This window comes from Homo sapiens, chromosome 9, assembly GCF_000001405.40.
Source record: "Homo sapiens chromosome 9, GRCh38.p14 Primary Assembly".
NCBI lineage: Eukaryota > Metazoa > Chordata > Mammalia > Primates > Hominidae > Homo > Homo sapiens.
In genome coordinates, this window is record NC_000009.12 from 124,832,797 (window position 1) to 124,845,750 (window position 12,954).

Below are 12,954 nucleotides of genomic sequence, written 5' to 3' on the forward strand. Positions count from 1 at the left end.
TGGGGAGCCCAGGCCCTGCCCCATTGTGGCCCTTGGGGAGCCCCCCACCTCCTCAGGGGTCCTGGCCAAAGCCACTTCCTCGGACTCAGCCCGAGCTCCGAGCCCGCCTGGAAGCTGGCTGGCTTCCCAGTTGCGGTTTTTGCCCTAATGTGCTGGGAGTCATCCCACGGGCTGAGGCCTAGCCTTGGCTGGCTCCTTGCCTCCTGGGGGAGGCTGGGAAAGAAACTGGGTCCTGGATACATCAGGTTCCAGGTTCGAATCCCATCTCTATCTCCTAGAGAGCCACCAGACTTGAGTGTAGGCTGTGGAGCCAGGCCCTGGGTTAGAACCCAGACTCAACCACTTTCCAGCTCTGTGGCCTTGGCCAACTCACTGCCCTGTGAGCTTTAGTTTCCTTACCTCTCAGGTAAGGATTAGAATGGTCTTGCCCTCACAGGCATGCAGTGAGCATTAAATGACCCACTTTATATAAAGTGCTTATAGGCCGGGTGTGGTGGCTCATGCCTGTAATCCCAGCACTTTGGGAGGCCAAGGCGGGCAGATCACTTGAGGTCAGGAGTTCGAGACCAGCCTGGCCAACATGGTGAAACCCCATCTCTACTAAAAATACAAAAATTAGCCAGGCATAGTGGTGCACACCTGTAATCCCAGCTACTCAGGAGGCTGAGATAGGAGAATCGCTTGAACCCAGGAGGAGGAGGTTGCAGTGAGCCAAGATTGCACCGCTGCATTCCAGCCTGGGCGGCAGAGCGAGGCTCTGTCTCAAAAAAAATAAAAAATAGGCCGGGTGCAGTGGCTTACGCCTGTAATCCCAACCCACTGGGAAGCTGAGGCAGGCAGATCACTTGAGATCAGGAGTTCGAGACCAGCCTGGCCAACATGGTGAAACCCTATCTCTACTAAAATACAAAATTAGCCAGGCATGATGGCGGGCACCTGTAACCCCAGCTACCCAGGAGGCTCAGGCAGGAAAATTGCTTGAACCCGGGAGGCAGAGGTTGCAGTGAGCTGAGATCCCGCCACTGCACTCCAGCCTGGGCGACAGAGCAAGACTCCGTCTCAAAATAAAAATAAATAAATAAAGTGCTTACAGCAGTGTCTGACATAGACTAAGTGCCCAGTGAGTGTGGGATGTTACTGCTATATGTCTTTGAGCAAGTCCCCATCGCCCCCTTGAGCCTCAGTTTCTCCATCTGTAGAATGGGAATGACACAGAACCCTACCTCAGAGTGCTGAGGAGGTGAGACGGTGCACGGAAGGCACTTTGCACGGCACCTAGCAGTTAGTGAATGGTTAACAAATTACTAACAATTATTTGTATATCCCAAAGCCTTTCTGAGAGGATCGCACTCTGAAAAAAAAAACGGCTTGAGAAGGTTAAAATATTAAATTGGCCAGGCACAGTGGCTCACGCCTGTAATCCCAGCATTTTGGGAGGCCAAGGTGGAAGGCTGGCTTGAGTTCCAAAGTTCAAGACCAGCCTGGGCAATGTGGTGAGACCCCATCTCTACAAAAAAAATTTAAAAAGTAGCCAGGCATGGTGATGTGCATTTGTGGTCCCAGCTACTCAGGAGGCTGAGGCGAGAGAATCACCCGAGCCAGGAGGTCGAGGCCGCAGTGAGCCATGATTGCGCCAGGCACTGCAGCCTGGGCACCAGAGTGAGACTCTGTCTCAAAAACAAAACAAACAAACTAAACTCAATTTCCAGATGGAGGGGGAGCAGTAGCTTTGAGGAGCTGTGAGAGCCTTTGTAAGTGGCATTTGATGGGCACAGCGACAGGGAACCAGGCAGGGACTAGACAGCAGCTTGTTCTGCTGCAGAGGCTGGAACCGGGCAGCAGGGAGCCACAGGAGAGGACCAGGCTGGGAGCGTGTTACTTGTGGGGCTGGGGCACTGGGCTGGGAAGGGGCAGACTGCCGAGGCTGAGGGTGGGGCAGGGTGTGAGAGCCTGGAATCTGAGCTGGGTGGGATGGGGGCAGGGTTCCAATCCAGCCATGAGCTCAGGCGAGTCCCTGCCCCTCTGAGCCACACTTTCATCTGTCAAATGGGGCCAATGACACATCCGATGACTCAAAGAACACTTGCACTAATAAGGCTGTTAAGAGAATCTGGAGGCCCGGCCAGGTGTAGGGGAGAAGCTACTTACGGAGCCACCTGACTGCACCTGAGACAGAGTCCCAGGCAGTGCCAGAGGGCAGGGGACCTCCTGAGCCTGGCATCTTGGCCTTCCCTCCTGAGCTCCCTCCGACGCAGAGCAGACCCAAGCAGCTTCCCCGGGGCCCTAAGTGGGAAGCACGTTTTCCAGCCTAGGGATGGACACGGCCCTGGTGCCAGTGGCACTGTAGAGGGGCCCCTGTAGGTGAGGCTGCCCTCCCAGGCCCCTTCTGTACGCCACCCTGGTGCCGTGCTGACCACTCGCTGAGACACACCATAAACCCTTCCTCCGCCAACTGGTTTCAGAATCATCCCACGTTCCTCACCAGGCCCCAGGCTCCAGGTCTGGGTGTACGGGGAGTTTTCCCTGTAGCCTGGCTCCCCGCCAGCCACAGAAGCCTGTTGGAGGCTGGCACACAGCCAGACTTTGACCTCTGGGGAATTTGTTCTAGAGTTTTATTAATAGCAACAATATCTTGCATTTACTGTGTGCCGGGCTGAACTACACTCTACTTGCATAGAAAATGCACAAGGACCCTGTGAGCTGGGGTCCATGATCCCACTCCTAGGAGAGCAGATGTCAAGTTCCCCACCCAGCCTCACACAGTGGGGATCCCGCTTGGGCAGCCTGGCACCAGATGACCCTTTCTCAGGGACTGCACTGCCTTTGATTTTGTGGGAAGAACACTGGTTTGAGAGTCTGTAGCCCTGGGTTCTGCCTCCTTGGGGTGACCTTGGACTACCTTCCGACAGTGGAGATGAATGCTGCTCTGCCTCCCCTGGGTCTTAGATAGGGAATACAACATATATATATATGTGTGTGTGTGTATCTATATATACGTGTGTGTATATATACACACACATATATATATACACGCACATATATATACACACACACACACACATATAGAGAGAGAGAGGGAAAGAGAGAGAGTGTGTGTTTATGTGTGGCCTATACCTTATTTTAAGGATATGGCTCATGTGATTATGGGCGCTGGCAGGTCCAAAATGTGTAGGGTGGGCCAGCAGGTTGGAAACTCAGGCAGGATTTGATGTTGCAGTTTTGAGGCAGAATGTCTTCTCTGGCAAATGCGTTTTTGCTCTTAAAGCCTTCAACTGATTGGATGAGGCCCACCACCCACACATCAAGGGTAATTTTTTTTTTTGAGACAGAGTCTCACTCTGTCACCCAGACTGGAGTGAAGTGGTGTGATCTTGGCTTACAACAACCTCCGCCTCCTGGGTTCAAGTGATTCTTGTGCCTGTCTCCTGAGTAGCTAGGATTACAGGCATGCACTACCATGCCCAGCTAATTTTTTGTATTTTTAATAAAGACAGGGTTTCACTGTGTTGCCCAGACTGGTCTCAAACTCCTGAACTCAGGTGATCCGCTCATCTTGGCCTCTCAAAGGGCTAGAATTACAGGAGTGAGCCACCAGGCCTGGCCCCCCCCCTTTTTTTTTTCAAGACGGAGTTTCACTCTATTGCCCAGGCTGGAGTGAAATGGTATGATCTCGGTTTACTGCAACCTCCGTCTCCCAGGTTCAAGCGATTCTCGTGCCTCAGCCTCCTAAGTAGCTGGGACTACAGGCGTGCACTGCCACATCTGGCTAATTTTTTTGTATTTTTAGCAGAGACAGATGTTTCACCATGTTGGCCAGGCTGTTCTCGAACTCCTGACCTCAAGTGATCCACCCACCTCGGGCTCCCAAAGTGTTGGAATTACAGGTGTGAGCCACCAAGCCCAGCCAAGGGTAATCTTTACTTGAAGTCAGCTGTAGATGTTGACTCAACCCATGTACAAAATACCTTATGGGAACACCTAGATTAGTGTTTGACAAAGTAACTGGGTACTATAGCCTACCCATGTTGATCGCACCCCTACTTCTTAGCTAGGGAAACAGTTTCAGAGAGGTGGACCGCCCAGGTCCCACAAATAGAACTGGGAAAGTTATATCCTTGTCTGTAGATATGTCTAAATATATACCGCAGAACGCTAGCATCTTTAGGGAGGATTTGAGGTAACTTTTAAATACCTCTTACTGTCTAGTATTTAAAATTTCACGTGTAACTTATGATCACAAAATTAAATGATTTTTCACTTTGGGAAAAAAAGGACTTCCAGCTGGGTGCGATGGCTCACACCTGTAACCCCAGCACCTTGGGAGGCTGAGGCGGGCAGATCACCTGAGGTCAGGAGTTTGAGACCAGCCTGGCTGACGTGGTCAGACTCCCTCCCGCCCCCAACTAAAAATACAAAAATTAGGCGTGCATGGTGGTGCATGCCTATAATCCCAGCTTCCCAGGAGGTTGAGGCAGGAGAATCACTTGAACCCCGGGGCAGAGGTTGCAGTGAGATTGTGCCACTGCACTCCAGCCTGGGTGACAGAGCAAGACTCCTGTCTCAAATAAGTAAACAAAATTTAAAGAAACGAGAGACAAGGAAATGTATAAAAAGCAAGAAAAAAGGCACAAAAGGTAGATTTTTTAAAACCAAGTAAATCAGTAAGTGTGAACAAACTAGATAAATCATTCAATTGAGACACATTGAAACAAAATGATACAGAAAGGTCAACATAAAAGGGTATGTTATTAGAGGTGTCCAAGAAAAGGATGGGAAAAGATATAGCATGAGAACAACAACAAGAAACATTTTATAATGACAAGTTTAATTTGTGCATATACATACATATATACGTATACATATACATATATGTATTATTTTAAGAGTTTCACTCTTGTTATCCAGGCTGGAGTGCAATGGCACAATCTCAGCTCAGTTTAACCTCCACCTCCTGGTGTGTCCGGAATTGGTGGGTTCTTGGTCTCACTGACTTCAAGAATGAAGCTGCGCACCCTCGCAGTGAGTGTTACAGCTCTTAAGGCAGCGCGTCTGGAGTTTGTTCCTTCTGATGTTCAAATGTGTTCGGAGTTTCTTCCTTCTGGTGGGTTCGTGGTCTCGCTGGCTCGGGAGTGAAGCTACAGACCTTCATGGTGAATGTTACAACTTTTAAGGCAGCACGTCTGGAGTTGTTCATTCCTCCCCGTGGGCTCATGGTCTCGCTGGGCTCAGGAGCAAAGCTGCAGGTCTTCACGGTGAGTGTTACAGCTTATAAAAGCAGTGCGGACCCAAAAACTGAGTAGTAGCAAGATATATTGTAAAGAGCAAAAGAACAAAGCTTCCACAGTGCAGAAGGGGACCCAAAGGGTTGCTACTGCTGGTTCGGGCAGCCTGCTTTTATTCTCTTATCTGGCCCCACCCACGTCCTGCTGATTGGTAGAGCCCAGTGGTCTGTTTTGACAGGGTGCTGATTGGTGCGTTTACAATCCCTGAGCTAGACATAAAGGTTCTCCACGTCCCCATCAGATTAGTTAGATACAGAGTATGGATACAAAGGTTCTCCAAGGCCCCACCAGAGCAGCTAGATACATAGTGTCGATTGGTGCATTCACAAACCCTGAGCTAGACACAGGGTGCTGATTGGTGTGTTTACAAACCTTGAGCTAGATACAGAGTGCCCATTGGTGTATTTACAATCCCTGAGCTAGACATAAAGGTTCTCCAAGGCCCCACCAGAGTAGCTAGATACAGTGTCGATTGGTGCATTCACAGACCCTGAGCTAGACACGGGGTGCTGATTGGTGTATTTACAATCCCTGAGCTAGACATAAAGGTTCTGTACGTCTCCACCAGACTCGGGAGCCCAGCTGGCTTCACCCAGTGGATCCCGCACCAGGGCTGCAGGTGGAGCTGCCTGCCAGTCCCGCGCGGTGCGCCCGCACTCCTCAGCCCTTCGGTGGTCGATGGGACTGGGCGCCGTGGAGCGAGGGGGCGGCGCTCATCGGGGAGGCTTGGGCGGCGCAGGAGCCCATGGAGGCGGTGGGAGGCTCAGGCATGGCGGGCTGCAGGTCCCGAGCCCTGCCCCGCGGGAAGGCAGCTAAGGCCCGGTGAGAAATCGAGCGCAGCGCTGGTGGGCTGGCACTGCTGGGGGACCCAGTACACCCTCTGCAGCCGCTGGCCCGGGGCCGGTGGGGCCGGCCGGCTGCTCCGAGTGCATCCGCCAAGCCCGCCCGCCAAGCCCACACCCATCCGGAACTCCAGCTGGCCCGCAAGCGCCGCGCGCAGCCCCGGTTCCCCGCTCGCGCCTCTCCCTCCACACCTCCCTGCAAGCTGAGGGAGCCGGCTCTGGCCTTGGCCAGCCCAGAAAGGGGCTTCCACAGTGCAGCAGTGGGCTAAAGGGCTCCTCAAGTGCCGCCAAAGTGGGAGCCCAGGCAGAGGAGGCACCGAGAGCGAGTGAGGGCTGTGAGGACTGCCAGCACGCTGTCACCTCTCACTGGGTTCAAGCAATTCTCCTGCCTCAGCCTCCCGAGTAGCTGGGATTGCAGGTGCCTGCCACCATGCCCAACTAATTTTTGTATTTTTAGTAGAGACAGGGTTTCACCATGTTGGCCAGGCTGGTCTTGAACTCCTGACCTCAAGTGATCTGCCCGTCTCGGCCTCCCAAAGTACTGGGATTACAGGCATGAGCCACCGTGCCTGGCCCCTGCTAAATGTTTATCTTTTATTTTTTGTGGAGATGGGTGCTTGCTATGTTGCCCAGGTTGGTCTTGAACTCCTGGCTTCTAAGCAGTCCTCCTGCCTTGGTCTCCTAGAGTGCTCGGATTGTGGGCATGAGCCACTGCACCCAGCCTCAAGTGGGGATTTGAACCCAGGTCTGGATGGATGCTAAGCCCTCGCAGAGTGCGCAATGGAGACTTGCATAGAACGGCACAGCTGCGGGCAGTGGAAGGCTGAGATTTAGGCCTGAACTTCTGGAAAGAAATGGGAGAGGAAATGACTCGATGTTCCTCCTACCCCTACTGGTCAGGAAGGGAAGGGCAATGCCCCAGACAGGCCGAGGAGGGCTTCCTACCCACCCCTACCCCCAGACACAGGGGCCCTGGGCTGGCAGGAGTCCATTATCATGAAGTCTCAGGGGTGGGGGCAGCTGAGCAAACATCAGTTCCCTGGCCTGATACAAAATGGCCATTGAAGCATTTCAGGGCCTGGGGGAGGTGTGGGGCTGCTGAGACAAGCTTCTGAATGGAGGGGCCGGGCTACTGCACGGCACCCCAGCTGCCAACACTTTCAACTTTGTGATGAGGAAGCTGAGGCCCAGACAAGCCGATACATTAGCCTGGACTCACACAGCCAGTCAGATCCCATCATTCTGGCCCACAGGGTGGGGGTCTGGGGGGTGCCCAATGGAGGCCGGTGCCAAGTTCCAGGTGTGAGCCCATGGACCCGGGAACCCACAAGTTGCCTGTACTTAGCCCCAGCTCCAGGTGGCTCAGAGCAGCCCTTGCCAGCCCTGAGAGGCTCAGCAAGGAGCTCAAGGTCACACGGCAAGCAGAAACTGCCAGTGTCTCCCTGCCCGGCCAGGGCGGCTCCCGCTTTCTGGCCTGAGCTCTGCTTCCCACATGACCCCCACTCTCCCAAGCCCCATCCGTCAGCTGTCTCCTTGGAGGGCGCTGCGAGGCTGGTCAGATTTCCACAGGGCACATGGGTGCCGGGTGTGACTGGGACAGCTGGGAGGGCAGGTGGGCGGAGGGGGCTGCTGGCGGCACGAGGCCCCAGCCAGGGATGGGATCCTGCAGCAACTGCTCCAGGCTGCCCGAGGGGGGCCAGGCCCTCATGGGGGAGCTGATTCTGGGTCCGTATCCCAGCTGTGCCACCGAACTGGCTGGTGACCCTCGTTTGGCGTCTCTTCCTCTCCTGGATTCTCGAGTTCCCCAGCTGGTGGCGCTGTGATGGTCAGGTTATTATTAATTATTATCATTATTACCTCCTGGTGGCCTGGGAAGAAATGGTCAGGCCAGAGAACCTAAGCAGAGGTGGCTGGGGGGCCACTTGACCCCTGAAGTTCCATTGGCTTCCTAAAGCTCCATTTGGCCATTTGGGCTGTCCCTTGCTGCTGCTGAAGGCCCCTGTTGCTCACCACGGCTCCCCCAATGCTTGTGACAGCACAGTTCAGAACTCGCGTGAGATTGGAGTCATTCTGGCTGGAGGGGGGCCAGAGGCCCAGAATTCCAGCCCTGCGTCTCCTCTTTCTCCACATTTCACCCCCCGACCCCCCTGCACCAGGTAGCTCTGAGGCCACCCTTGGCACCGTCAGGGTTCCATGACACCTACTTTGAAAACCATGGCCAGAATGCCATCTAAACCCCTTAGCTAGGCATTCCAAGCCTCCATTCCCCACGCCTCCCCCAAGTCTCTAATTCTTATTTTCCCCAGGTGTCCCCCAGGTGACCCAGTGCCCACCACACCCGATTCCTGGCTGCTTCAGAAACAGGCTCTGCAGCTTTACCCTGGGGCCTTTATAGATGCCGTTTCTGCCTCTCAGAATCTTCTTTTCCGCTTAGCACCTGGCAAATACTTCCTTAACTCCAGAGGCCTGGAAGCCCATTGTCTCCTCCCAGAAGACCTCCCTGATTGCGGAAAGAGGGTCCCTTGCTCTTCCCTGAGCTCTCTGGGGCCCTGCAGAGGTCAGGGGGCCCAGAGGGGTTGAGGGGCGTGATCCGGCAAGGACGGGAGGGAGGGAACAGGGAGGGATGTAGATGGAAGGCAATGGGTGGAGGGCAGGAGCAAGGGAAGAATGGGGGGCGGGGGAAGGCACCACCTTCTGCCCCTCCCCTCACCCCTAGCGCCTATACCCGCGTCCTCTCTCCTCTCCTCCACCCCACCCTGGGGCCAAGCATCTTCTCCAGGCTCCAGGGAGGAGAGGAATTCCAGGAGCCCCATTTCAGGGTCCCAGGTGGGCCACCAGTCCAGAGGATCAAGGGATAAGGGAGAACGGTCATGAGCCAACACCCACTCCAAGTTCCACATCTCATGGCTCAGCTCCCAGATGATCTGCCTTCCTGGGCTGCTTTCCGGGGGGGGTCGGGTCCCCCTAGAGCCCCAGGAGGTCGGCGTAGGCCTCCAGGACGCAGGCCTTCTGCTACCATCACAGACACCACAGGCCTGCTACTCACCCGGGACAGGAAGCCACTTTCTGAGCACCAGCTATGTTCAAGGCCCCGGGCCAGGCACTCACTGGTTTGGTCTCATTTAACTGGGCAACACCTCCCTTCTCAGGGACCAAGCACCACTTCACTGAGGGAAAATGGGGTTCAGTGGAGAAGCTGTTAGAAGGACACACCCCCCCCCAAACTGTGCACAGTCTCCTTTAAAAGAGCGAAGTTGGTGGAAGAAGACAGGGAGCAGACACATGTGCCCTTTGTGTTTTATTCTGATTAGTTAATTACCCATTTGCTTTTGTTTCTTACCTTTCCTATGGTGGTGAGTGCCCTTTGTTTTTTATTTTTATTTTTACTTTTATTTTTATTTTGAGATGGAGTCTCATTCTGTTGCCCATGCTGGAGTGCAGTGGTGCGATCTCAGCTCACTGCAACCTCTGCCTTCCAGGTTCAAGCGATTCTTCTGCCGTAGCCTCCTGAGTAGCTGGGATGACAGGCATGCGCCACCACACTTAGCTAATTTTTGTATTTTTAGTAGAGACAGGGTTTCACCATATTGGCCAGGCTGGACTCGAACTCTTGGCCTCATGTAATCCACCTGCCTCAGCCTCCCAAAGTGCTGAGATTACAGGCGTGAGCCACCACGCCTGGTTTATGCTTTAATATTGTTGTGTCCAAGACTGTTTAAGAATTTTTTTTTTTTTTTTTGAGGCAGAGTCTCCCTCTGTGGCCCAGGCAGGAGTGCAGTGGCACAATTTAAGAATTTTAAAAATTGGGGGCAGGCCCAGGGGCTCATTCCTGTAATCCCAGCACTTTGGGAGGCCAAAATGGGCAGATCACAAGGTCAGGAGATCGAGACCATCCTGGCCAACATGGTGAAACCCTGTCTCTACTAAAAATACAAAAATTAGCTGGGCGTGGTGGCACGCGCCTGTAATCCCAGCTACACGAGAGGCTGAGGCAGGGGAATCGCTTGAAGCCGGGAGGCAGAGGTTGCAGTGAGCCAAGATCGCACCATGGCTCATGCCTGTAATCCCAACACTTTGGGAGGCCGAGGTGGGCAGATCATGAAGTCAGGAGATCGAGACAGTCCTGGCCAACATGGTGAAACCCCGTCTCTACTAAAAATACAAAAATTACCTGGGCGTGGTGGCACGTGCCTGTAGTCCCAGCTACTGGGCAGGCTGAGGCAGGAGAATCGCTTGAACCTGGGAGGCAGAGGTTGCAGTGATCCAAGATCGCACCATTGCACTCCAGCCTGCCAACAGAGCGAGACTCCGTCTCAAAAAAAAAAAAAAAAAATTGGCCGGGCACGGTGGCTCACGCCTGTAATTCCAGCACTTTGGAAGGCCGAGGCAGTTGGATCACCTGAGGTCAGGAGTTTGAGACCAGCCTGGCCAACATGGTGAAACCCCACCTCTATTAAAAATACAAAAATTACCTGGGCATGGTGGCGGACCCCTGTAATCCCAGCTCCTTGGGAGGCTGAGGCAGGAGAATCACTTGAACTCGGGAGGCAGAGGTGACATCCAGCCTGGGTGACAGAGCTTAAAAATTAAATAAATGAAACAGCATAAAAATCCTCTCTAGCTGGGTTGTGGCCCTGCCCCCACAAGCTGGACAGGCCTGTCACAGAGGCCCTGACTGGCTGGCTGCCCCCTACCCTGCCCTGCACCCTCGATCCACCCCAGACCTGGGCCTGACATCCACAGGGTGGCGTGTTCAAGACCTTCCACTGGTGCTCAGCTCAGAGCCTCAGAGAGTTCTCCTCTGTAAGACTCACCAGAATGTGGGAGAGGCCGGAGGAGACCCGTGGGTGTGAGTCCCTGAACTTGAGAACTGGGAATGCAGGCTGGGGCTGTGGGCCCACGCTGGGGACAGTGGGTGGTGGTCAAACCCCCTGGGCTTCTCAGGTTCCTTCTGACGTCTAGGTCACTTTGCTATCCAAACAGAATGACTGTCTTAGAAAAACACGTATTAAAAAATACGGTAAGATAAATAAGGCTGAGTTTCTAGATCTGGCAAATCGTATTCCAAGAGAGCCAGAGTGAAGGGTATGAATCTGACGCCACACAGAACAGCCCAGAGATGGCCCGGGGGCTGTTGCTCATGCCTGTAATCCCAGCACTTCGGGATGCCAAGGTCGGGCAGATCACCTGAGGTCAGGAGTTCGAGACCAGCCTGGCCAACATGGTGAAACCCCGTCTCTACTAAAAATATGAAAATTAGCCAGGCGTGGTGGTGTGTGCCTGTAATCCCAGCTACTCAGGAGGCTGAGGCAGGAGAATCGCTTCAACCTGGGAGGTGGAGGTTGCAATGAGCTGAGATCGTGCCATTACACTCCAACCTGGGTGACAAGAGCAAAACCCATCTCAAAAAAAAAAACAACAACAAAAAACAACAACAACAAAAAAAAAAACAGGCCTGAGGCCAGAAGCCAGTAGAGAAGAGAGCACCATCACCCCACCCTTCTAGAAGGGTGAGCCCAGGAGTCATGGACTCATGAGCCCAGACTCGCCAAGCAAAGTCGGGGGCAGATTGTTCAGGAAGTGATTTCAGAGTCCTCAGAAGATGGAGTGTGACTGGCAATGCAGACGAAGGTCACTGGAAAGTGAACCAAGCTGCTGTTGTCCCTCTCCATAACAGGTGACCGGGCCCAACCCACACACAGGCTGCCTGGATTTCTGCAAAACACAGGAGGTTTTCCTTTTTTATTTCTTTTTAAATTGTTTTGTTTCAGGGCTGGGCATAGTGGCTCACGCCTGTAATCCCAGCACTTTGAGAGGTGTAGGTGGGTGGATCACTTGAGGCCAGGAGTTCGAAACCGCCTGGCTAATATGGTGAAACCCCGTCTCTACTAAAAATACAAAAATTAGCCGGGCGTGGTGGCGCATGCCTGTAATCCCAGCTACTCGGAAGGCTGAGGCAGGAGAATCGCTTGAACCTGGGAGGTGGAGGTTGCAGTGAGCCGAGATCTTGCCATTGCACTTCAGCCTGGGCAACAGAACAAGACTCTGTCTAAAATAAATAAAAAATACATACATAAAATAAAATCTTTTGTTTCCTTTTTTTTTTTTTGAGTCAATGTTCTGCTGAATGGCTTTTTTGGTTTTTTGTTTATGCCTTTATTTAATTTTGGCATCCAAAACAGAACAGAATAGTATGACGTAACCCATTAAAAGAATAGTGGCCGTTATAGATAACATCCTTCAATACTGAACCTAAGTGTGAGGTTTTTTTTTTTTTTTTCTGAGATGGAGTCTCACTCTGTCGCCCAGGCTTAAGTGCAGTGGCCCGATCTTGGCTCACCATGACCTCCGCCTCCCAGGTTAAGGGATTCTCCTGCCTCAGCCTCCTGAGTAGCTGGGACTACAGGCGTGCACCACCACGCCTGGCTAATTTTTGTATTTTTAGTAGAGGCGGGGTTTCACCATGTTGGCCAGGCTGGTCTCGAACTCCTTACCTCAGATGATCCAACTGCCTCGGCCTCCCAGAGTTCCGGGATTACAGGCGTGAGCCACCGCGCCCGGCCGTGAACCCAAGGGTGAGTTTTTTGTTTTTGTTTTTATCTTGCTGTTTGTTTGCTTGTTTGGCAGCCACGTAGCTTGTCTTTCTACACCTGCATGGATCAGTTATTGAATTAAACTGCCCCCTGGGAAGAGGTAGATTTGAGTGAAGCGGTTTCTGCTAGTTTAGGGCAACACCTGAGAAAGGCCTCGGCTGTGAACCATCAGCGGAGACACTTCCGGTTGCTGGAGCATGAAAGTTTAATCCCTGAAGAGGCCACGGAGCAGCACAG

At 53.1% G+C, this 12,954-nt stretch overlaps 4 annotated features.

The window, feature by feature from the left end:
* Window positions 1,401-2,012: an enhancer, noted in NCBI's record as "H3K4me1 hESC enhancer chr9:127596476-127597087 (GRCh37/hg19 assembly coordinates)". NCBI's record gives its function as "activates a minimal SCP1, AML or CMV promoter by ChIP-STARR-seq in naive H9 embryonic stem cells {active_cell/tissue: H9 hESC(naive)}" and the evidence as "EXISTENCE:reporter gene assay evidence [ECO:0000049][PMID:30033119]".
* Window positions 2,013-2,623: an enhancer, noted in NCBI's record as "H3K4me1 hESC enhancer chr9:127597088-127597698 (GRCh37/hg19 assembly coordinates)". NCBI's record gives its function as "activates a minimal SCP1, AML or CMV promoter by ChIP-STARR-seq in primed H9 embryonic stem cells {active_cell/tissue: H9 hESC(primed)}" and the evidence as "EXISTENCE:reporter gene assay evidence [ECO:0000049][PMID:30033119]".
* Window positions 6,956-7,559: an enhancer, noted in NCBI's record as "H3K27ac-H3K4me1 hESC enhancer chr9:127602031-127602634 (GRCh37/hg19 assembly coordinates)". NCBI's record gives its function as "activates a minimal SCP1, AML or CMV promoter by ChIP-STARR-seq in naive H9 embryonic stem cells {active_cell/tissue: H9 hESC(naive)}" and the evidence as "EXISTENCE:reporter gene assay evidence [ECO:0000049][PMID:30033119]".
* Window positions 7,560-8,162: an enhancer, noted in NCBI's record as "H3K27ac-H3K4me1 hESC enhancer chr9:127602635-127603237 (GRCh37/hg19 assembly coordinates)". NCBI's record gives its function as "activates a minimal SCP1, AML or CMV promoter by ChIP-STARR-seq in naive H9 embryonic stem cells {active_cell/tissue: H9 hESC(naive)}" and the evidence as "EXISTENCE:reporter gene assay evidence [ECO:0000049][PMID:30033119]".